General features: G+C 35.9%; 2 protein-coding genes across 2 annotated transcripts in view; one reads left to right on the top strand and one right to left on the bottom strand.

Moving 5' to 3' along the window:
- Window positions 1-1,905: 1,905 nt before the first annotated feature.
- Window positions 1,906-20,057, bottom strand: MNDA (myeloid cell nuclear differentiation antigen). Its single transcript, NM_002432.3, has 7 exons — window positions 19,851-20,057; window positions 8,990-9,274; window positions 7,993-8,129; window positions 7,286-7,453; window positions 5,405-5,821; window positions 3,492-3,680; window positions 1,906-2,218 (listed from the first exon to the last, which is right to left on the bottom strand). The coding sequence occupies exons 2-7, from the start codon at window positions 9,252-9,254 to the stop codon at window positions 2,171-2,173; spliced, it is 1,224 nt and encodes a 407-aa protein (NP_002423.1). The 5' UTR covers window positions 9,255-9,274; window positions 19,851-20,057; the 3' UTR covers window positions 1,906-2,170.
- OR6N1 (olfactory receptor family 6 subfamily N member 1) overlaps window positions 11,012-26,110 on the top strand; it is a 76,161-nt gene continuing 61,062 nt past the window's right edge. The window contains exon 1 of the mRNA XM_017000325.2: window positions 11,012-11,093. The gene's annotated coding sequence lies outside the window, so the exon portion shown is untranslated. The remainder of the gene's footprint in view (window positions 11,094-26,110) is intronic.

The following is a 26,110-nucleotide window of genomic DNA, read 5'->3' as shown; positions in this document are numbered from 1 at the left end:
GTCTCTAGAATTTTCTAAGTATAGAATCATATCATCAGCAAAGAGAGATAATTTGATTTCTTCTTCTCTTATTCAGATGCCTTTACTTCTCTCTCTTGCCTGATTGCTCTGGCTAGGACTTCTGTCACTATGCTGAATAGAAGTGGTAAGAATGGGCATCCTTGTCTTGTTCCTAATTTTAGAGGAAACACTTTCAACTTTTTATCATTGAGTGTGATGTTAGCTATGTACTTGTGATAATTGGCCTTTATTGTGTTGAGGTACATTACTTCTTTATCTAATTTGTCTATAAGTTTTACCATGAAAGGATGTTGAATTTTGTCAAATGCTTTTTTTTGCACTGATTGAGATGATCATATGTTTCTTGTCCTTCATTCTGCTAACATACATTATGTATCAGATTGGCTGATTTTCATATGTTGAATGATTCTTATATCTCAAGGATAGATCCTACTTTATCATAGCGTATAATCCTCTTAATGTGCCATTGTATTTGGTTTCCTAGTGTTGAGGATTTTTTTCACATATGCTCATAAAGTATATTGGCCTATATATATTTTTTTCTTGTAGTGTTCTTGTGCAGCCTTACTATCAGGGTATTGCTGACTTCATATAAAAAGAGTGTGAAAGTGTTCCCTCCTCTTTGATTTTTTTGAAATAATTTGTGAAAAATTGGAGTCAATTATTCCATAAATGTTTGGTAGAATTCACCCTTGAAGTGATCAGGTTTTTGGCATTTTGTTGTTGTTGTTGGAAGTTTCTTGATGACTGATTTAATCTCCTTGTTTGTCATTTGTTTTTTTCGGGTGTTCTGTTTCTTCTTAATTCAGTCTTTGTAGGTTTGGCCTTTGTTTTTCTTTTTTTCAGTTCCCTGAGGCATTTGGTTGTTTACTCGAGAGCTTTCTTTTTTAAGGTAAATGCTTATAACTATAAATTTTCCTCTTAGAACTCCTTTTGCTGTATCTCATACATTTTAGTATATTGTGGTTTCATTTTCATTTGTCTCATTTTTTTAATTACCCTTTTAATTTCTTCTTTGATCCATTGGCTATACAGAAGCATGTTTTTAAATTTTCACATATATGTCAGTTTTCCAGTTGTTTATTTGTTATTTATATCTAGGTTAATTCTATAATAATCAGAAAAGATGCTCGTTATAATTTTATTCTTCTGGAATTCATTAAGACTTGTTTTGTGACCTAGAATGTGACATGTTGTGGTCAATGCTCCATGCATACTTGAGGCAAATGTGTATTTTGATGGTGTTGTGTAGAATGTTCTGTTTATATCTGTTAGGTCCGTTGGTGTATTGAGTTGTTGATGTCTGCTATTATCTTATTGAATAACTGCCTGGATAATCTCTTCATTATTGTGAGTACTAAAGTCTCTTACTATTACATTGCTGTATATTTCTCCCCTCAGAACTGTCAATGTTTGTTTTATGTTTTTAGTTGCTCTGATTTTGAATACATATGTAGATGTATCTACAAGTCAGAAAAATGGAATATGATGGATATGATAATCCACACCAAATAAGGAGGGGAAAGCATCTTGCATATATTGGTACCTTTATGCAAATCACCGTTGTTGTCCCCTTCAGAGAAACCAATTACCCCAACGGCCCCCTTCTGGAGGACACAGTTGCATAAAGGAATCCTTTCCTCTAGATCTGCTACTTCCCTAGGCCACAGTATTTGTTCATTTAAGCATGGGCTACATAAATTTAGTCACAGCCTTTACTGCGGACTTATCCTCTGAAGATCACAATATAGACTCCAATGTGGATAAGGCCCCATGTGTCTCTCCCCATCTCTAGAATGTGCTTCACAATGCACAAAGTACTCAGCCTCAAGCAGCTCACTATTGATCTTAACAGAACGTAGACAAGACTTTGGGAAAATAATGTCCTTCAAAAAAAGATATTTTATTTTTTGCCTCGTGAATGTCATAAAAGCAAAATGTAATATCTAAAAAAAAGGAAGAGTATAAGAAGAAAATTTTATTCCAGAAAGCAAACTAATCTATAACTCAGTTATAAAAGCTCTTAATATGCTAGAATATATCTACTGAAACATCATTTAAATGAATTACTGAAATTTACAAAATCACAGTTATTAACAACTTAATTGTTTTAAGCGGAAGTTGTTTGTTGCATTTCAGCTTTCATATTTCAATTAACATTCATTGGTCCTTCCTTGTTTTTCTTGGCCTTGATGACCTTTAAAGAGAGATAAGAAAGACATAATGAGACCCTAGATATTGAAATGAAGCTCTGCTTATAGTTCTCCTTTCACCTGCCATATCTTTTCTTCCCATTGGCTACATTATTCTCCTTATCCCCTATGAAAGCTCGTTAGTCACAAAGTTATGAAGATCTACCTTCAAAAAACTCATTTTCCCCCCATTAACTAATCTCTGTTTGTCTTTTTCCTTCCTGAATGGATTTTTGAAATAAACTTCTGTGGTATCCTGGTTAACCAACTACCCATTTTTTTTTAAAAGTTTCGATTTGTAACATTTGCAGAGTCTGGTGGCATACATATTTTCACATGGCTGATTTCAAACTACCACATGTTTAGCAAGCAGTGCATATAATTCCTGAATTTCCAACAGTAAGCTCTCTTCAGTAAGGATATGAGTGAATCCAGCACACAACTTCTAATAGATATCTCTGCCCCAAGCCTAATTGCTCTGTAATGCAACTCCATAGATAGACACCGGAATATTTTTTGCTAAAATATCAAAGTGATCAGGCATTCTTCTGCATAATTTTGTTTCAATTTTTCATGTATTTTCAACAATAAAGTTTCCATTAATTTACTTTTGAAAAAGCCACACTTCTATTTCTTTTTCATCTTTGGGCCTCAGTAGTCCCTTTTTTTTAATCTTTGGGTCCCACAGTCTTCTGCATCTACTGAATTTCAGTTGTACAGAACTCATTACGCTATGTCACACTTTTGGAATTTTCATGTATCATTTCCTTTGCCTAAAAGTCCCTCCAATTTTTACCTTCCTAAAAATAAAACTATCTACCACAGATCAGTTTATTATGATGTGCCAGGTTGTGAGATAATTAATATGTATACATTGTCTGAATGTTTAAACCATCCCAATGAAGTGGAGACTTCCATTATTTTAGAGGACCAATGAAACTGTTTCCCCAATATCAGCCAACTAGTGCTTCTTAAATCCAGGATTCAAATCAGATCTGTCTTATTCAGAACCCTTGCTCTTGAGCCCTATGTTCCCTGCCGCTAGACACATCTTTAAATCAATTAACACTAGTATTGTATCCTTTCTAGAGCTGTATGAATGCCTTTACCTTAATATCCTTCTGAAAATCTTCCAGTTACAAATGCAAGGGCATTGTTTAGGTTCTCCTTCCACTCGCTGGACTCTCTGAGTAATACATGAGGAACCTGGTGTTCCCAAAGCCTAAGCAAAATTATTTGCCTCTTTAGCAAACTCATTCTCCTCTATCCAGTTCCCACCTTGATGAAGCTGTGACTTCCACACACCAGTTTCAGCTTGCGGTCAACTGTTCTCAGTTGAAGGCAGAAGAGTCGAAGTTTATCTCCTTTCTCACACTTGATATTGTGCCATTTTCCACTCCCCACTACATCCATGGATCCTGTATTATCCTGTATTTCATAAATTGTGTTCTTCTTGTGTACGCTTTTCTGCAAAAGAAGATTAACATCCTGTTTCTGAGAGGATTGTTAGTATCATATAGATGAGAAAGAGTCTCATGACAAAGTTAATGCAATATGCACGACAGGAATGACAGGTACAGATCATACATGTGGCTTGGCCTGCCATCTCACAGGGTCCATCTTTTATTATCCAGCATTTTTTTTTCCTGCTTAAGGTATTTTTCTTTCTGCAATTATACAACAATAAATATTTCCCTCTTTTTCTCCTGCTACCACCTTCAGATCAGCTGAGAGTAAATAAAGCACCTAGATATAGAGGAATCAAAAATTCCTATAGAACTTCTTGGCTCATGGTCCTGTGGAAAAACAAATGTATGCTTTCTACAATTATTCATTCAGTAGATTATGAGGAATTTCACTTTATTATTATTTTAATTTTTAAAAATTTCAATAGCTTTTGGGGTACAAATGGTTTTGGGTTACATGGATTAATTATATGGCGGTGAATTCTGAGATTTTAGGGCAGCCATTACCCAAGTAGTGTACATTGTACCCAATATATAGTTTTGTATCCCTCACCTCCCTCCCAGCCTCCCGCTTCTGAGTCTTGAAAGTTTATTAGATCACTCTGTATGCCTTTGTGTACTCATAGCTTAGCTCCTCCTTACAAGTGAGAACATACAATATTTGGTTTTCCACTCCTGAGTTACTTCAGATTATGAGAAATTTTAAAGGAAAAATCTTCTATAACACAATCATTCATTCTTTCTCAGCCTTCCTCATTACTTATTCTTTTCCAATATCTTGTCCCCATTGACCTAACTCCCTCCATTCATACTCTGTAGTGTTTCACACACTTAAGCTATTACTCATCAATTCTGTAATTGCATTTATAAGCAAGATCTCTTAAAGAGAGTGTGAGAAAATGTGGAGGTAAATTTAAGGGGCTATATTGAAAGACATGTATGTAGGGTTATAAAGCAGTCAATCATATAAAATGTTAGTTGAGTTCATAGAAATGTGTAATGTTTTAGAGTGGAGAAAGGGATGGAATGCATTATCCTAACTAGCATCTTGAATTTGGACATGGACATATCAATAAAACTCTGTGCCTTGGAATTATTTTTTTTTTGTAAATAGTATGAAGAGATTGCCTTATCCTTTAAGTATCATGGAATTCAATATTTCTCAGTTGTTCAATGCTATCTTCATAAATAAATGAATAAATAAATAAGATAGAAGGGCAACTGATCTAAGCACAAATGTTTAGATTGTATGGATAGCTGTTGAATGTATTTGCATTTATGAGCATACCAGCCAATCCACTTATTACTCCAAAATTATGTCACAACCAGAATTCAACCTTGGTAGCACAATTCATTACTTAAAATAAATTTATCAAAACTCACAGTAAAATTATCAGTGCTCATTGGGATGGAGCTGAAAGAGATGATGTTATTAGCTTGCTCCCGTTGATTTGGACCCTGTATTGTCCTAGTTCATTGTGGCTGACAACAGATCATTACTGCCAATATTTCTTACTAACTTTTTTTCAAAGTCCCTACATTTATTTTGGCGTAAGAAAGTTAATAGGTCACTTAGTCCTATTTCCTATTTTGTGGGACAACTTCATCACTATCTCTAGTCAATATAAATTCTTGTGTTCCAATATTCAGACAGTAAGTCTGGCAAATTAAGACATTTATTTCCAGGTAATGGTAGAGAAAATTAAAACAAAATTAAGGGTTTACCTTTTGTAACATAAACAACCCATACACCATTGTTCCAGATGCTTGCTTGTAAAGTTGACTGATCTTGGGAGTTTTATTTGCTATTTCGATAATTCTGTTTGGGACCTCAAAATTTTGATTAAAGTCAGACACAGATGATGCTTCCTTTATTTCCATTACTCCTTTACATTCAGAGTAATCAGATATGGTAATGACCTTCTTCCTTACAAATTTCTCTTTCAAGTTGATGTCGAAGACTTTCACATGGAAATATTGAGTCTTACTGGCCACTGTAGCATGAAACATTGTGCTTTTCCCATTTTCTGGGGACTCGTATTTAAATGGCGCTGTTGCTTTCAGTACCACCACTGTCACTGGGTCGTTTTGGGGAACATTTCTTCTTGCATCCACCTGCCGTTGGGCCTGGGTTTCCTGATTCTGTGTTGGGCAGACACAAGAAAATAAACTTAAAACTTTGAGCAGGAGGCCGGGCGCGGTGGCTCACGCCTGTAATCCTAGCACTTTGGGAAGCCGAGGCGGGTGGATCACGAGGTCAGAAGATCGAGACCATCCTGGCTAACATGGTGAAACCCCCATCTCTACTAAAAATACAAAAAAAACTAGCCGGGCGTTGTAGCGGGCGTCTGTAGTCCCAGCTACTCGGGAGGCTGAGGCAGCAGAATGGCATGAACCTGGGAGGCGGAGCTTGCAGTGAGACCAGATCGCACCACTGCACTCCAGCCTGGGCGATAGAGCGAGACTCCGTCTCAAAAACAAACAAACAAACAAACAAACAAACAAACAACAACAAAAACTTTGAGCAGGAATACAAAGTCACTCTGCACGAGTGACTCTGCAGAGCTTTCGACCCAACAACTTTCACAGATATTTGGAGCTGGGGGCTAGGCTAGACAGGGATTACTGAACAGAAAGGAAAGGCACATGAGCTGGTAAAGTTTAGCTACTGAAAGCCTAAGGTAACAGACAACAGGCTTGGAAATTAAATCACCCTCATTGACTCAGAATAATCTTCCTGAAGCAAAGCATGATCTTCTGCATGAACAATCTAGAGTAGCAGATGATGAAAACATTGTTGTGAAGAAACTTTAAAGAAAGATTAGAATATAATAACAAATCCAAATATCTCCTCTACCTACTGAAATTATCAAAGACAATCAACAAAGTGAAAACAACTTGGACAGCATTAAAAATGAAGAACCATGCCCACCAGAAGCCTCAAACATCATTAGATGTTCTAATGATCAAACATTCATTAGAAATTCTAATGATCACTAGTGTACTCTGCCATTTTGAGGGCCAAACTCGTTTGTTTCTTCCCAAGAAACAGTGCTTTTACAAGTGGAAAGACTTGGCCTGGCTAGCATGTAAGTAGTCTCAGGTAGAGGATTTCTGGTTAGAGCTATGTCCTCGACTGTGTATACACAGCATTTCACAGTGGCTAAAATGCTAACAACAATGGAAAAAGGACAAGTTTGTTTATCTCGTATGTCCTCTCTCCACAGTGTCCTGGCCTATTTGAGTTGCAGCAGAATACTTTTCTGAAGAGAACGTTGGCAGATCTGTAATAGGAAGTGTGGGGAGCAAAGATGAGCCATGGGCTTGTATGTACTGGTACTAGGAGCCAGGCTACTTACCTGCACAGACCAGAAATGCTTAGTGGTCTGTCCTGGTGTTTTACACACAGTGATTACCTGTAGGTAATTGGACTTTACTTGCATGTGGCTTCTCACCAATGTAAACAAGTTATCATAATATGGAAAACAGTTTTCCCACAGCAAATCAGTAATATGAAGAGTTATGCATGAGAGTAACAATAGTAACAGTGGAATGCACTGTGACTGGGTTAAAAAAAAATGGAGAAGAGGACCAGGAAGAGTGTACCGGAGTAAACGAAGTGTTGGATGGAGTTGATGATGAGGTCTGGGGTAGTGGGGGATGATCCACAGCTGCAGATGTGCTGGCTCCTGAGGGACCTGGGGGCTTACTCTGCTCTTGGGACACCTTATTCCTTTTGGCTTCAGTCTTTTCTTTGTTTGGAGTTTTTCTTTTCTGAAAGTAGTTTAATTTTCCTGTTAATGGAGTTTAGTATCAAAAGAAGCAGAGCAAGTTTTCATTTTTTCATTACAACATAGTAAGTTCTATTTATGTTGGATGGGATGTCCTTGGAAACCCCAGGGAATTACAATCTGTCACTTGAAGATATGGACAATAGATAATATTGGGCATAGATTGTTGCACTAAAAAGGAGATGGATGATTTCAACAGATGCATTACTGTTATCACCACTGTGGTGTGATGAGAAGAGCACTGGACTTGGAATGAGAAAATCTAGATTTGTGTAAGGATGGGCAAGATGTATATCCAATATGATTATTACCCCATTTTTATAATGGAGATGATAATATATTTATGTCACAGAAATTTTTTATTACATTTTTACGATACCTAACTCTTTACTCATCACAAAGAAGATCCATAATTACTAATTTGGTAAATCTAAGCTGTGTTGAGATATTAGTAAAGAGCCACGTGCCATAGCAGAGTATCTTCTGTGAGGCTTCAGTCCTGCTCCTCTTTCTCAAGCTTACCTGAGCTACAGGAATCCTCCCTCTTGCTTCCGATGTCAGTTTGTTTCTTGCGGTGGGTGCAGGTGCCGCAAGACCCACTTCTTCCTGGTTTATTTTTTTCACTGGAGCTTTTTCTTGTGTTTTAATTTTCTTAGCAACTGACAAAAGAAAAGAAAAAGGGCACAATAGGCCTAGAGTGGAATAGCTTATCTAAGACAGCTGAGGCAGTTTCAATATTACCTGCTGTCAGCTCCTGCATGAGAGTTCGGATTTGCCTGTTACCTCTACTGCATTAACCCAGCCTGGCTCCTAGGAGGCCAACAGCAGCATGGTAGGCATAGGCACTGTCTCATTCTCCTCAGTGCTTTACTCACTCCTCCCCTTTGCAGTGAGAACATGCTTCCTTTCCTGTGAACTCCATGTGCCTCAATCAACCCTTTCTCAGTCTTGTTCTCCTACCATTTCTTTTAAATATCTAAGGCTTTCATGATGCTGACAGGCTGGTCATGTTCTGTGCAATATCTGTTCAAATGACAGAAATATGACCTGAAAGGAAATATGATCTGAATTGTAATGTGGCAAAGTGCTAATATTGGCTTTTGAATTAAAAAAAGAACAGTGATTTATTAAGTGGAAAAATTCTACACGTCTCTTAATAGAACTATTGCTGCATAAATTGGTTAAATATAAATATTTCAAATAAAACACATTTTTTAAAGTAGCTTTTTTTTTCATTTTCTGACATTTTTGATTTACTGAAACACTCACCGTCTCATAAATCCCTGTCTTTGGTTTTTTATCCTTACCTCAAATACATTCTTCTAAATATATCAATCTCTTTCATATGAAACAGAATGTTCTAAATTGCCAACTGGTCAGTCTCTGAGGTGCCAACATCCCCATGACTGCTGAGTTATAAATTGGAAAAGGGATGTACCAGCTATGACCAAGGTGGGGTTCTACTGAAGACTGGGGAGACTCAAGGCAGAGTAGCTATGTGCAAGGTTTTCTCTATTACCTTTTGACTTCTCTTTTCGAAGATTGTTAACAAGGTTTTTAAGTGATGGCATATCTTTGGCAAGTTCTATTAGTTTGTCTAGACAGGCAACGCCTTGGAACTTTTTTTCCATCAAATCTGTAATCTTAATTCTGTTGTATTCCTCTTGCATTTTTGTAGTTAGTCCTAAATCATAGGCCAGTAAGGACTTAATTGATGTAAAATGATAATCATCCATGAGCTCAAATCCTTTCAGCAAAAGAATTTTCTTGTATTCATTCACCATTTCTGATGTTATAGCTTGGCCTATAAAGTAAAAATGACACACAACATTACACATTTATGCAGACAATTTTAAAAAATGAGATATGCTTTTGTGAGTGAGTGTCCCAGGCCAAAATGTTGTCCTTGGATGCGTATAAGAAAAAGGGACTAAGTTACCAGATATGTCACTGTGAACAATGGATCAAGACTTGCTTTATTAGGAGGTTCAGTGAAGTTCTTCCCTTTTAATGTTGATAAGTTGGGACAGAGGTGTATGTGGTGAAATGATGTTTGGAAACAGGTAATTGTTGCAGTATTTATAGTATGGGTTTTGTGGTGTCAAAGTCCCTGGTTCCTCTTCTGATATTTTATTGGGGCCTGAGCCTATCCCTCAATGCCTACCTCTTGGTTCCTGATTCTTCCCTGATTCTTCCCTGATTCTTCCTGGTCATCCACTATGACCAAAGTGGCCTAAGTATAAATGGGCTGCAGCCACTCACCTTATGTGAATAACCTTCTGCCACAGCACTACAGTTCTGAGTTGTGGAATGGACTCTAGTCCTTCTTGGCTCTCCCTAATCAGCTCTCGTTAGCACTTTTTCTCCCTGGGGCTTAGAACTTGTTCTCTGTGTCCTATGCATCTATAAAATTGTCATTTTGCCATCCTCCTATCTGCTCTCTAGTGTGGAATTGCAGCATTTATTTTTTGCACATTTGTTTTTTACAGTCAATTATTTACCTCCAACTAGTCTTACTTTTACTAAAAGGTTTCTGTCAGACAACCAAGTAGGTTTCTTTATGGATAAAGACATGACTCTATTTTTCCTGAAATCCTTCAATGAGTTTTGATTTTTATTAGTATAGATTTCTACTCAGCATGACTTGAAAGGCCTTGCATAAACTGTATCTTTCTTTTTGTGTGTGTCTGTTACTTTTGAATTTCTTATACCTTATGCTCTAGAAATACACAATATGTCTTTCTTTTTCAGGTCTTCTTACTGCTAATTCCCTTCCTGCTATCTGGGAAAGCATTCCCAGTTTTCTTCCTCTGAATACTTCCTTAGAGTTTTTAATGCTTAATTGAGGCTTTATCTTCTGCGAGCTGTTGTGGTCCCACTCTCACTTATGTGTGCCTCTTTAACCCCTTGTGTACTACCTAAGGGCATTCAGTTCCTAACGTATATTCCAATTTTCTGTTTAAATTTATAGGTATTCCTTTAGGTTGGTGACCATGTGTTTGTGCAACTTTTATATAATTAGAGTGTCCAAATTCTTAGGGCTGTAAATTGTTCTCTTTTGGGAGAACATGAGTGTTCCTGTGTTTAAACCTATCAGATAAAGAGAAATTTCACACATGGGCACATATAGTAAAGCCAAAGAATATTAAAAGCAAAATGATAAAATCTTCCAGAAATACTGAGTAGAACACCTACAAAGATTAAATAATCTGATTGAACAGTCTGCAGCAGGTTAAGAAAGTAATTTTTACATAGTACTGATCCATAATTATATGTCTGCAATTTTAAAACCTAAGAAGATACTGAAGGATGAAAAGATTTGTGCGGTTTGGGGGCTTGGGAAGGGATGAGAGTTAGCAGGGAAGTGTGGTAGCAAAATCATCTTGCAAATTAGAGATATAATGTGAAGTAATACGTGGCTGATATGGTTTGGCTATGTCCCAACCCAAATCTCATCTTGAAATATCATCTTGTGATAGTGAGCAAGTTCTCATGAGATCTATGGTTTTATAAACATCAGGCATTTCCCCTGCTAGCACTCATTCTCTCTCCTGCCACCCTGTGAAGAGGTGCCTTCCATCATGATTGTAAGTTTCCTTAGGACTCCCCAGCCGTGCGGAACTGTGAGTAAATCAAATCTCTTTTCTTTATAAATTACCCAGTCTCAGGTATTTCTTCATAGCAGCGTGAGAAGGAACTAATACAGTGGCTATTTTTAATCTTCCTTATTCATCTCACTTTAATGTGAATAGTGGCATGATTTGTTGAAGAACTCTTAATGCATTTGATATTAGGATGTTGATATTACCTCTACTGGGACACTTGCAGTGCCTACATACAATGTATGCATTAAGTAGTCTTTCTAAAATCCCCCCCTAAAAAAATGAATTAAAAATCAGAGTTGTCCCAGGGGTTTCAGGTGAAGTGCTGTGAATCAGTTTTCAAGCAAAAATATTTTTCAAACTAAAATTTTGTATCTGGTCAAAATGTTATTTGAATGTTATGGTTTAAAAAATTGTTCTCTTCTCACTGAGAGTGACATTAGCAAGATTGCAGACAAGGACGTTCCAGACTTTCATTATACCATGGAAACACCAAATAAAGAACAATTTATGAACCAAACTAATGTTTTCAGCTGTTAAGAATTGGTTGCAACAAAGGAAATTCCAAACCAAGATTAAGCCACATTCAAAATAGTGGAAAACTTCTAGGTGTTTTTCTTTGTCCCTGTTTAACTTTCTCCCTTGAATGGTGTGACGTGATCAGGAGGAAACTTCCTAATTCCTCATTCTTCCTTTGGAATAGAAGGAAAAGTGTGGAACTGCTTTGCAACATTATAGCTTCTCTGTAGGTTCCTTGAGGGACTAGTAACTGCTTCACATGACTTGGAGCATTGATGGAAATGGTGGCATAGTTTAAATGTCAGATTTGAGGCTGCAAAAAGTAGTGGTGGGTGCTCCAGCTTGTGAGAGCTTCATGGGATCTGCTACTCCCTGGGTGCCAGAAGGCAAGAGATTATGGATAGAGGAATACAGTAGAACATCTAAGGTCATGAAAAGAGGCAGGTGTGGCTCTTAGGGAAATTACAGATTAAAAGCAGTGTGTATATGAGAGAATTACAAAAAATGCACACACATAAGCCCAGGCAAGACACACGTCCATATAGGCCTCAGAGAACGTTTATATTTCATACTTAGCTGAAGAGTGAAAGTCCTCCCCTGAATATGGTGCCAGTTAACAATGGTTGAGAGGGGGCTGTTTTTACAAATGTCCAGTTTTCAACAAAAGGTATACAAAGAAACAGGTAAACATGGTCAATTTTAAAGAAAAAAATGAATCTCCACAAACTTTCTCTAAAGAAACACAGCCCTCAGACTTTCTTGTCAAAGACTAAAACAGCACTCTTAAATATGATAAATGAGTTAAAGGAAAATAGGTAGAGACAACTAAATAAAATCAGGAAAATGATTAATAAAAAATGAGAATAGACAAAAAATAGAAATTACCAGAAAAAATTCCATAAATTCTGAAGCTGAAAAACACATTGACTGCATTGTAAAATCCACTAGAGGGGTTCCTCAGCCCACACCAATAGGCAGAAGAATCAGTTAGCTTTTAGACAGGTCATGTGTAATTATCAAGGCTGAAGAACAAACTTTTTTAAAAGATATAAAGGAAAGTGAACAGAACTTATAAAGTTCATCAAGTGGGACAATATATGCATTATGTAAGTCTGAAAAGGTGATGGAAAAGAGAAAGGAATAACAAAATTATTGAGTAAATAAGGACTGAAAACTTTCCAAATTTGAGAAAAGACTAAATGTACAGATATAAGAAACCAAACAAGCTGCAACTATGATAAACTCAAAGAAACTTACACTATGACACATTATTATCAAATTACCAACACTCAAAGACGAAAAGAAAATCATTTAAAAAGCGCAAGAAAAAGGCAACTCATTATATCCAAGAAATCTTCAATAGGATTATGAGCACATTTTTCAGCAAATACTTTGTAGACCAGAAGGTAGTGGGACAATACATTTCAAGTGTTTAAAGAAAAGTCTGTCCATCAAAAATGCTATATCTGGGAAACCTGCTATTCATAAATGAGAGAAATTAAGACATTCCCAGATAAACATAAGCTGAAGGATTTCATTACCACTATATCTACCTTAAAAGAAATACTAAAGAGATTTCTTCAAGCTGAAACACAAGGATGCTAGATGGTAACTCAAACTCATACAAAAATGTAAGTTCTTGATGAAAGGTAAGTATATACATAAACATGAAACATGACTTTTGCTATTTTGATTTGTAATCATTTTTTATTATTTTATAGGATTTAAAATGTGAAAGCAAAACAATTTATAAATCAATGTTAATTGGTACATATTATATAAATGCAATTTGTAATATTAACATAAAATATGTGTTGGGGAGCTGTAAAGGAGTAAACATTTTGCATATGATTGAAGTTAAGTTGTTATTAGTTAAAAATAGATTGCTATAACTTTAGAATATCATATGCAACCTGATGATGACCACAGAGATATCTGTAGGATGTACACAAAGGAATAGAAGAACATAAAAATGTTTCACTACAGAAAAAAATCAACAAAAAGAAGTCACTAAGAGACAAAAACCTATTAAGACATACAGAAAACAAATAAAAAATGGCAACAATAAGTTCTAAGTTCTTCCTTATCAATAATTAGTTCAAATGTAAATGGTTTAAACTTACTAATCAAAAAGCATATTAAAATTATATATACATATATATCACAATGAATTTAAAAACAGGGGATCCAAGTATATGTTGCATACAAGAGGCTCATTTTACAGATGTAAGGACAAAGATAGAAAGTGAAGGAATAAAAGAGATATTCCATTGAAATATTAAATAAGAGAGCAGAGTTTGCTATACTAGGATCAGATAAAATAAAAATAACAGTCAAAAAGTGTTATAAGAGACAAAGAATATTACATAGTGTTAAAAAGGCCAGTTCACCTAGAAGATATGACAATTAGAAACATACATGCACAAAACATCAGGGCTCCTAATATATGAAACATTTACAGAATTGAAGGGAGAAATAGACAACTCTAAGGTAATAGTAAGAGACTTTAATGTTCCACTTTCAATAATAGGTAGAACAATCTGACAGAAGAAAATTTGGAAAAAATAAATATTGAAAAACATTATAGACCACTTATAGACCAATTATATCTAACAGATATATCCAAAACAGTAAAGCCAACAACAGTAGAATACACATTTTTCACACGAACATATGGAACATTGTCCCAACATATACCACAAATTAGGATGCCAAACAAGTGTTAATAAATGTTAAACGTTTGAAATCATACAGAGTATATTTTTTTATCATAATGGAATAAAAGTAGAAATCAACAGAAAGAAAACTAGAAAATTCATGACCCTGTGAAAATAAACAACACAAACAATGAAACATGTACAAAGAATCACAAGTCAAATTTAAATCCATATTTAGAGAAATTATATAGAAACACAACATATCATTTCATTAAATGCAAAGAATATGGTGATGAGGGTAATTTACAGATTTAAACAACTACATTTACAAAGAAGACTCTCAAATCAATAATCTGACTTTACACCATAAGGAACTTAAAAAAGTAGAACAAACTAAACCAAAAGCCATCAAAAGGAAGGAAAAAATAAAAATTAGAGGTAAAATTGAGATTAGAAAAATAATAAAGAAAATCAATAAAAAAAAGAGTTGGTTTTCTGAAAATGTGAATAATACTGACAGAACTTTAACTGAATTGACATAGAAGAAAAAGAAGGAGACTCAAATAATAAAATCAGAAACTAAAAAGAGAACATTACAACAGATTTCACAGAAATAAAGAGAATACTTTGAACAATTATACATCAATAAGTGGGATAACCTAAATGAAATGGATAAATGGATAAATTATTAGAAACATACAACCTGCAAATTTTGAATCATAAAGAAATAGAAAATCCGAACAGTCATTATGACTAGTCAGGAGACTGAATCAGAAGTCAAAAACCTCTCAATAAAGAAAAGTCCAGACTAAGTGGTTTTACTGGTAAATTCTACCAAATATATAAAGAAGAATTAAGACCAAAATTCCTCAAAGTCTTTCAAAATTTGAAAAGGAGGGAACACTTCCAAACTCATTGTATGACTCAGCATTACTCCAATGCAAAGCCAGACAGAGGCACTAGAAAAATAAAATTTTCTAAACAATATCCCTTATGCATGTCGATGCATTTTTTTTTTACAAAATGCTAGCGAACATAATTATATAGCACGTTAAATTTATTTATGCATCATGACCATTTAAGGTTTATCCCTGGAATGCAATGATGGCTCACCATGCAACAATCAATTAACACTCTTAATGGTAAAAGACTGAAAATATTTCTCTTATTCCTGAAAGATGAGGAAAAATACACAGATGCTCATTTTTCACTTGTAAAAATCAATTAAGATAATACACCACATTACCAGAATGAAAGACAAAAAAAAAATGATCATCTCAATTGATGCAAAAAATAAATAAAGCATTTGACAAAATTAAATAGCCTTTCATGTTAGAAACACTCAGTAAACGAAGAATAGGAGAAAATTACTTCAACATAGTAAAGTCTACATACGAAAACACCATAGCTAACATTATTCCCAATGGTAAGAGACTGAAAACATTTCTCTTGCTCCTGAAACATCAGGAAAAAGACAAGGATGATTTTTTTGTTCACTTCTGTTTGAGATAGTACTGAGGGTTTAACACCCACCCCCCGCCCCCACCAAAAATAGGCAATAAACAGAAAATATAAAATATCCAAATAAGAAAGAAAAAAGGTAAATTCTCTCTCTTTACTGGTGATATGATCTTATATGTGGAAAGTCCCAAAGATTCTATGTAAATACTTAGAATTGATAAACAAATCCAGCAAAGTTACAGGAATCAAAGGCAACACATACAAATCAGTTGTGTTTTTATACGCTAACAACGAACAAAAAGGAAATTAAGGAAACAGTTCTTTTTCTGTATACAATAGCTTAAAGTAGTAAAATACTTAGGAATAAACTTAATCAAGGTGGTAAATTATACAACACTTTGAAGGAATTAAAGAAGGCACAAATGTACATGGGAAGGCATCTGTGTCCAGGGGTTAGAAGACTTGATACTGTTAAGGTGTCAATACCCAAGGAACTGCATATGCAATGCAATTTGCAATGTAATCTGTAATGCAAAATCCCAGAAGTGTTTTTTACACGAACACAAAAATTTGTCTTAAAATTCATGTAGAATTTAAAGGTACTTTAAATAGCCTTTTTTAATCTTGAAAACAAGAACATGGAGGTTTCAGACTTCCTGCTTTCAAAACTTGTTATAAAGACACAATAATCAAAACAGTGTGGTATTGGCATAAAGACAGACATAAAGAACAATGGAATATGATAGATAGCATAGAAATAAACCCTGAGAAATATGGCTTATTGATTTTTGACATGGACGTCAAGGCTGTTTAATGAGAAAGAACAGTCTTTTCAAAAATGCTGTTGGGCAATTGTGACATCTGTATACAAAAAGTTGAACCCTTACCTACATCATATACAAAATGTAACTCAAAGTATATCAAATATCTAAATGTAGGAATTAAAACTATGAAACTCTCAGAATAAAACAAAAGGGAAAGGCTCCATGACATTGGATTTGGCAATGGGTTTCTTGGACATGACACCGATGGCACAGGCAACAACAACAACAATAAAATAGATAAATTAGACTACAACAACATTTAATTTTTATATACATCAAAGACACAATTAACAGAGTAAAAAAGGGAACCTAGAGAATGAGAGAAAATATTCACACTTTATATATTTGATGAGTGCTTTATATCCAGAATATACAGCCAACTCCTACAAATCAACTCCAACAACAACAGAATCCAAACAGTGTGATAAAAATTGATAAACACGGTGAAACCCCTTCTCTACTAAAAATACAAAAATTAGCCGGGCATGGTGGCGCGTGTCTGTAGTCCCAGCTACATGGGAGGCTGAGGCAGGAGAATGGCGTGAACCCGGGAGGCGGAGCTTGCAGTGAGTCGAGATCGCGCCACTGCACTCCAGCCTGGGCGACAGGGCGAAACTCCGTCTCAAAAAAAAAAAAAAAAAAATTGATAAAGGACTTGAATAGACATTTCTTCAAAGGTGCTATACAAATGGCCAATAAGCACATATGAGTATGCTCAACGGCAATAATCTTTAGAAAAATACAAATCAAACCCATAAAAACCACAATGAGATATAACAATTAAAAACATACATGCACAAAACATCGGAGCTCCTAGGATGATGTTTTTTGGTACTGTCAAAAAAATAACTACAGAAAATAACCAGTGTTGGTGAGGATGAGTAAAAAAGGGAAACCTTGTACATCATTGGTAGGAATGTAAAATGGTTCAGATGCTATGAAAAAAATATGATTCTTACTCTTAAAATTAAAAATAACATTACCATATGATTCAGTAATTTCACTTCTAGATATATTCCCAAAATAAGTGAAAGTGTGATCTCAAATAAATGCATGTACATATATGTTCATTGCAGCATTAATCACAACAGAAAAATGTGAAAGTATTACAAGTGTCCTTCAATGGATGAATGAATAAAAAGAAATATGGTTTCTTACGTATTTTATGGTAAATACATGAAATGGAATATTATTCTACCCTAGGAAGAAAGAATATTCTGACACATGATACAATACAACATGAATGAACTTTGAGAACATGAAATGAAAAAAGCCAGTCACAAAAAGCACACGCTTACTGTATGATTAAACATATATGAAGAGTTAGAGTTTTTAAATTTATGGGGAAAGAAGGTAGAATGATGTTTGCCAAGCTCTGGAGGAAAGGGGAATGGTGAAATTGTTGGTTAACGGTTAGAGTTTTAGTTTTGCAAGATGCAAAGGCGTTCTGGAGGTTGGTTGCACAACAATATGAATGTATTTAATACTACTGAACTGTACACTTGAAGCTGATTAAGATGACACATTTTATGTTACATGTTTCTTAACACAATTAAAAGAAAACAATTATTATATTCAAAGCTTTCAGAAGCTTGGCAGTGAAAATATCCATACCCACAGCTCTTTGTGAAGAACTACTCATTATGAAAAGAAATAAATCTAAGAAATGTTGGAGGCCAAAAGGGAAGAAAGATCAAGCAAATACTTTAATTAGTGTTTTTACTATCTTAAAAATAAGTAAAGCCAGAGTCAAATAAAAGAAAACAGGAACTATATGAACATACTCTTAACAGGTGAAGTTGTATGTTTGGGGGACCAGAAGATGTGAGAGTTTGCTAAGGGGCTTGTCTTTAAGGAGAATATAGATTTTTTAAAAATAAGAAACTTGACAAGAAAGGAGAAGAAGAAAGCACAGAATAAGTGCTATAAATTGAAACAAAGTAAGATGGCAAAACCAAGTTAAAATATATACCTTTATAGAATTTGCATATCTGGACTAAACTCATCAACTAGGAGGAAAAATTTTCAATTTGGATTAAAAATAAATCCAGTCATATGTTGTTGACAAAGTACAAATAAAGCATAAGTTCACTTAAGTTTGAGAAAGAGCTGGAAAAGTTATATTCTTCAAACTCTAACTTAAAGAAAGACTTTTTAGGAAAAATAGTGTAGCTTAAAATAGGCTTAAGTCAATAAGTATCAGTACATAGTTTCACTACATAATGGTAAAGTATGCAACTTGGAAAAAGATATAATAATTTAAATTATATTATAAATATAATCTGTTATTACTTTATAAAGTAGCATATAGAAGTTTTTTCTTCTCTCTAAACACACACATAACATATATACTTAGATATACATATTCTATGTAAAAATATATGGTAGAAATCAAAAGAACTACAATGAGAAATTAACAAAATCACTATTAGAGTTGGAGATTTCACCACATCTCTCAGTTACTGAAAGAACAAGGTAAAAAATAGCTTAGATTTAGATTTAGATTTTTCAAACATAATTAACAAGCTTACTTAAGAAACTTTATCTTACTTAAATAGAATTTGGAATCCAACGTTTATAAACTCTTCTCAAGTACTCATGGAGTAATTAGAAAACATTCATATGTACAAAGCCATAAAAAAGTCAAAATGTATCCCAAAGTAGGAAATATATAATTGATTCTCCCTGTCTTTTCATTATACCTTGCCACAAAAAATGTTATCTATGACTGAGTAAAGCATAGACCATTTGAAAAAGAGAATTATTTCTTCTTACACTTGTTGTAAAATGAAGCATAAAATGAAACTGATTCATGAAAATGTAAAGATTATTTTTGAGTAAATGCTTGTAAAATTGAGAAATTAATGTGTGCACATGTCTATGCTTTTTAAAATAGAGATAAAATCATATAATAGAGATTTATATCCTGGTTTATTTTTTACTAAATATTACTTCATAATAATTTTCTTATCTGACTGTCTTGTCTTTTAACTTAGGCCCAAACCCAGTCACCAAGTCATCCTCCAGCCAAGAAAACCAAGTATCTCCTCTAAATATCAATTTATGCCAAAAGACACCCAAGAATTAATTTTTAAAACCTGCTGTAGACAAAATACATTTTTTTGGTTCATACCCCAATTGTGGTAGAATAAAAGATATCCATTTGCTACCTAGACAGTTAAAGCATTCAGTTCTCAGTTTTCTGAATATGATTGATAACAACACTTCTGGTCTCAGGCAATTATTCTCTACTGAGATGGTGTGGTTACCAACTAGATACCTAGATCTTTCTCTAAAGAACTTCCCAGAAATCTCACCTTAATGGATGCTTCTTCCACAATAGTCTTCAGAAATCCTGGAGTCACTGTCTTGTTTAGGACAGAATCACTGTCCGTAAAGCTTTGGAGAGATTAAACTGCAGACTATTTTAATCTTGTAAAGGGCTGAGAAATGAAAGCTAACAAGGAAAAATGGCACTTGTTAGAGCCACTCTCAATCTTGATTGTAGATGGCCTTCTTACACTGTCCTAATTCCTAACTAGAAAGAAGTTATGTAATCATGAAACAATTTTGAAGCCACGCCTATCAGCCTTTGTAGCTTTCTATTTCAGATGTCAGAGAAAGTGGTCAGTTCCTCTTTGTAGTAAGTAATCTCAGTCACAAGGAGAAATGACAGTAAATGGTGCCTCTTCTTCGCTTTTTTGACTTACAAATACTTGCTGAAAGGAGTTTCAAACTCAGAACTTTCTTATAAAGCTAACTTACATATAGGTCATTAGAAACCGGTAGCCGCTTGAATAAGGATCTTAATATAAATTGGGAAAGGCAAAACACCAAAGTTTCTCCCTCCTTTCCTGTTCACAGAGTGGCAGGAGCAGGAGATCTTGGTAGAGATGTCTATTGCTACCAGAACTTGACTTCATCTCTTGGATAGGGGTGGGTCTACTGTGAAATTGTTTTTGTTTAAATAGTACCTACATATTCACCCAGTTATTAATAACTGATACACCTGGAGCTTGACAGAGGCAGAAAGTCATTATGAATATGTAAATCCTTATTCAAATAATTTGAAAGAGTTTCATACTAGTTGCTCTCTTGAGTATAATAACTGAGCTGCCTTACCTTGATTATTAAATTCATGATTACTCATGCTTTTTGCATTATTTATGGATAGTTGGTTCATATCATGACTGAAACCTTGAACATTCTGGAACAGCACTGAAACTCTGGAATGATAGGGGGCCTGATAAACCCTTTGTACTGCAATTTTTTTTTCCTGTGAAGAACAGTGGGTGCACTACAAAGTATCATAACTCTGAATTGTCAAATGAATGGTATCAGTTAGCAGACAGTGCTGTGGTTACCAACTAGCTGATCTGTAAGCAAAATGTGGTCATGACTGGAAAAGGATCCCAAAACAGCTAATAGGGGAAAATGATCCAAGGCCATCTACAGAGAAGAATAAAGCTGATTGTCTTAATCCAAACCAGCAGCATAGAGAGAGTTAAAGTTTGGATTTGGAAACTGTCTAAACCCCACTAAAGCAGGGTAAATCAGAAAAAACCAAGAGGATCTAGAATGACAGCCACTAACACATGTGGGTGTTCATTGTTTCAGTTTCTCTCTTATGCTGATGCTTCGAGCAGGTCTTAAGGTAAAGGGTAAAGAGGAACACAAGGAAACCTTATCAGGTGCCCCACTTCAGTGTTTGGGAACCAAAAGAGCTCACGACAGGAGTTACCATGTTTCAGGACAGCTTTCTGCCCTGATATGGTTTGGCTCTGTGTTCCCACCCAAATCCCATCTTGTAGCTCCCATAATTCCCACGTGTTGTGGAAGGGACCTGGTGGAAGATGAATGAATTATGGGGGCAGATCTTTCCCATGCTGTTCTCATGATAGTAAATGGGTCTCATGAGATCTGATCGTTTTAAAATAGTTTTTAAAAAATGGGAGTTGCCCTGAGCAAGCTCTCTCTTTGCCTGCTGCCATCTACGTAAGATGTGACTTGCTCCTCCTTGCCTTCCACCATGATTGTGAGGCTTCCCCAGCCATGTGGAACATTAAGTCCAATAAGATTCTTTCTTTTGTAAAATGCCCAGTCTTGGGTATGTCTTTATCAACAGCATGAAAACAGACTAATAAAGTAAATTGGTACCAGGAGTAGGGCATTGCTGAAAAGATACCAGAAAATGTGGAAGCAACTTTAAAACTGGGTAACAGGTAGCAGGTAACAGTTTGGAAGGCTCAGAAGAAGACAAGAAAATGTGGGAATGTTTGGAACTTCCTAGAGACTTGTTGAATGGCTTTGACAAAAATGCTGATAGTGACAGAAACAATAAGATCCAGGCTGTGGTGGTCTCAGATGGAGATGAGGGACTTGTTGGGAACTGGAGCAAAGGTGACTCTTGTTATGTTTTGGCAAGGAGACTGGCAGCATTTTGCCCCTGACCTAGAGATGTGTGTCTTAGAGTTTGAGAGAGATGATTTAGGGTATCTGATGGAAGAAATTTCTAAGCAGGAAAGCATTCAAGATGTGACTTGAGTGCTGTTAAAGGCATTCAGTTTTAAAAGGGAAACAGAGCATAAAAATTTGGAAAATTTGCAGCCTAATAATGCAATAGAAAAGAAAATCCCATTTTCTGAGGAGAAATTCATGCCAGCTGCAGAAATTTGCATAAGTAAGGAGGAGCTAAATGTTAATCATGAAGACAATGGGGAAAATATCTCCAGGGCGTGTCAGGGACGTGTATAGCAGCCAGTCCCATCACAGGCCTGGAGGTGTAAGAGGAAAAAGTGGTTTCACGGGCCAGGCCCAGGGTCCCTGTGCTGTGTGCAGCCTAGTGACTTAGTGCCCTACATCCCAGCCACTTCAGCAGTGGCTGAAGGGGGCTACTGTAGAGCTTGCACCATGGCTTCAGAGAGTGCAAACCTCAAGCCTTGGCAGCTTCCACATGCTGTTGAGCCTGAGAGTGCAGAGAAGTCAAGAATTGAGGTTTGGGAACCTCTGCCTAGATTTCAGAAGATGTATGGAAACTACTGGATGCCCAGGCAGAAGTTTGCTGTAGAGGCGGAGTCCTAATGGAGAACCTCTGCTAGGGCAGTGCAGAAGGGAAACGTGGGGCTGGAGACCCTACACAGAGTCCCTGCCAGGGCACCACATAATGGAGTTATGAGAAGAGGGCCATCATCCTCCAGACCCCACAATGGTACATACACTGATAGCTTGCACCATGCAACTGGAAAAGCCACAGACACTCAATGCCAGCCTGTGAAGGCAGTCAGGAGGGAGGCTGTTCCCTGCAAAACCACAGGGGTGGAGCTGCCCAAGACTATGGGAACCTACCTCTTGCATCAATATGACCTGGATGTGAGAGAGAGTCAAAGGAGATCATTTTGAAGCTTTAAGATTTGACTGCCCCACTGGATTTTGGACTTGCATGGGGCCTGTAGCTCCTTTGTTTTGGCCAATTTCTCCCACTTGAGATGGCTGTATTTTCCCAGTGCCTGTATCCCCATTGTATATAGGAAGTAACTAACTTGCTTTTGATTTTACAGGCTCATAGGTGGAAGGGACTTGCCTTGTCTTGGATGAGACTTTGCACTATGGACTTTTGAGTTAATGACTTTGGGGGACTGTTGGGAAGGCATGATGGGTTTTGAAATGTGAAGATATGAGATTTGGGAGGGGCCAGGGGTAGAATGATATGGTTTGGCTCTGTGTCCCCACCCAAATCTCATCTTGTAGCTCCCACAATTCCCACATGTTGAGGGAGGGACCCAGTGGGAGAAGAATGAATTATAGGGGTAGGTCTTTCCCATGCTGTTCTCATAATAGTAAATAGATCTCACAAGATCTGACGGTTTTTAAAAAATGGGAGTTGCCCTGCATAAGCTCTCTCTTTGCCTGCTGCCATCCATGTAAGATGTGACTTGCGCTTCCTTACCTTCTGCTGTGATTGTGAGGCCACCCCAGCCATGTGGAATTGTAAGTCCAATAAACTTCTTGTTTTTGGTAAAAGGCCCAGTCTCAGGTATGCCTTTATCAGCAGGATGAAGATGGACTAATACATGCCCTTTTTTAGAAACTAACTTTTGTAGCGATACCCTCTGTTGGTTCTCCACCAGACAACGCACAAACTGCTGACTCAAATAATGATTTTATCTCATAAATATTTCCCAAATATTTATTTCCCACTTTTCTGGTTCAAGTTCTCACTATCTCTTGCTAGGATCATTACTGTTCTAACTCACCTCCTTTCTTCCAGCCTGAAGTTCTAAAATCTACCCTGCAGCATTTCAAGAAGTATATTGCAAAAAATAGATGATAGCATATTCTGTGATTGTCTGTTTATATTTTGCTCACACAATGCTCCCTTCCATCTCAAGTATTAGTTATCAAAATATTTGTGGAATGCTGGTGTTTTTCAGCTCCAGGAAATGGATGATTATTTACTTAAGTCAATCAGGGAGACTAAGTCCTTTTTAAGCAGTTGATTAAAAATAGACATGTGACCCAGTTTTAGCCACTGGTGTCTAAATAGAAGCCTGCAGTAGGAAAATATCTAAAAAAAATTTTCTTTGCTAGGCAAAGGACATGAGCTAGAAGAAATAGCTTGTTATTTGTTCCAACTATCCTTGTGTTTTCATTTGGAATGAGCTGAGGCAATTGAATTGAGTGCAGTGGAAGAAATGTTTCATGGAAGATATTATTGAATCAATGAATTAACTAGCATCCCTCTTCTCTCCCCAAACAAAAAATCTTCTTGTAAATTTCCTACTTTTTAAATCATTTAACTTAAGAATTTATGTTGCCTGAGGCTGAAACTATTCTAACTAGCTCATTGATCACTTAATTTCACTTCTTTAAATTCTCCAGCATTACATGCATTGCTCATTGGATAAAGTGATTCTTTGTTTGGTACTCAAGGACCTTCATAACCTGGTATATCTTTATTTCTCTAGCCTCATTTCTTGCTAGTCTCTGTCTTTTCTCTGCTTGTCCTACTATACCAACTGACAGTTTAATTTCTCCATATCTCTAACACATAATGTTATTTCACACATATTGTTATTTCATGACTTAATAGATTTAATCATCTTCTCTCATCCTGAAATTCCCCTCATACATTTTCTACTCTGCTGTCCACATTTTCTTCAAATGATTATATTAAAGCTCACTCTTCCTTTGGAAACTATCCATACCTATCACAGGTCACCTTTGGGTGCCTCTGTAATACTCTACACGTTCCTATGTCTTAGCATTTACTGCATTTCATTAAAATTTTCTTTTCACTTGTTTGTGTACCCCCTCTGTATTGAAACATCAGTGACTAGAGTCATCATTAATTATTTATCTTCTTTGTGTCATCAATTTCCTGACATAAATTAAGATGATCAATAAATGTTGGTTGAACTAAACTAAATACAATCGAGCATGCAGAAAATTCACCTAAATTGAATAATTAAAATCGAGCTTTCATTTTTATTTCTCTCTTTTCTTAATTATCAAACCAAATAAAATATAGTCATTTCTTTTAAAGTTTCCATCTTTAATCATATTAATTTCTGTTAATAAAAAGTATGTTTTTAAAAAAATGTTTATTTTAGGTTCAGGGGTATGTGTACATGTTTGTTATATAGGTAAACTCTGTGTCCTGGGGATTTGATGTGCAGATTATTTCATCACCTAGGTAATTAGCATGATATGTAATAGGTTTTTTTTTTTTAATATTCTCCTTTCTCCCAACCTTCACCCTCAAGTAGGTTCTGGTATCTGTTGTTCCCCTCTTTGGGTCCATGTCTTCTCATTGTTTGGCTCCCACTTACAAGTGGTGGTATTTGGTTTCTTTTCCTGTGTCAGTTTGCTTAGAATAATGGCCTCTAGTTATTGAGGCCATAATGCTGCACAACACATATTATTCTTTTTATGGCTGTGTAGTATTCTATGGTGTATGTGTACAACATTTTCTCTACCCAGTCTACCATTGATGAATGTTTAGGTTGATTCCATGCTTTTGCTCTTTTGTGAATAGTGCTGCGATGAACATATGAATGCATGCCTTTATGGTAGAGGGATGTATATTCCTTTGGGTATGTACCCAATAATGGGATTGCTGGGTCAAATGGTAATTCTGTTTTAAGTTCTTGGAGGAATTGTCACAGTACTTTTCACAATGACTGAACTAATTTACACTACTACCAGCCATGTATAAGCATTCCCTTTTCTCTGTAACCTTGCCAGCATCTGTTATTTTTTGACTTTTTAAAAATAGCCATTCTGACTGGTACGAGATGGTTTCTCACTGTTGTTTTGACTTGCATTTCTCTAATTATTAGTGATGTTGAGAATTTTTTTTTCATATGCTTGTTGGTCCCATGTATATCTTCTTCTGAAAAGTGTCTATTCATGTCTTTTGCTCACTTTTTTTTTTTTTGAGATGGAATCTCACTCTGTTGCCCAGGCTGGAGTGCAGTGGCACAATCTTGGCTCACTGCAAGCTCTGCCTCCTGGGTTCACACCATTCTCCTGCCTCAGCCTCCCGAGTAGCTGGGACTACAGGCGCCCACCACCATGC

Source organism: Homo sapiens, chromosome 1 (assembly GCF_000001405.40).
Source record: "Homo sapiens chromosome 1, GRCh38.p14 Primary Assembly".
Classification (NCBI taxonomy): domain Eukaryota; kingdom Metazoa; phylum Chordata; class Mammalia; order Primates; family Hominidae; genus Homo; species Homo sapiens.
Note: the sequence above shows the minus strand (reverse complement) of the source record. Positions and strands in the feature narration are given on the sequence as shown.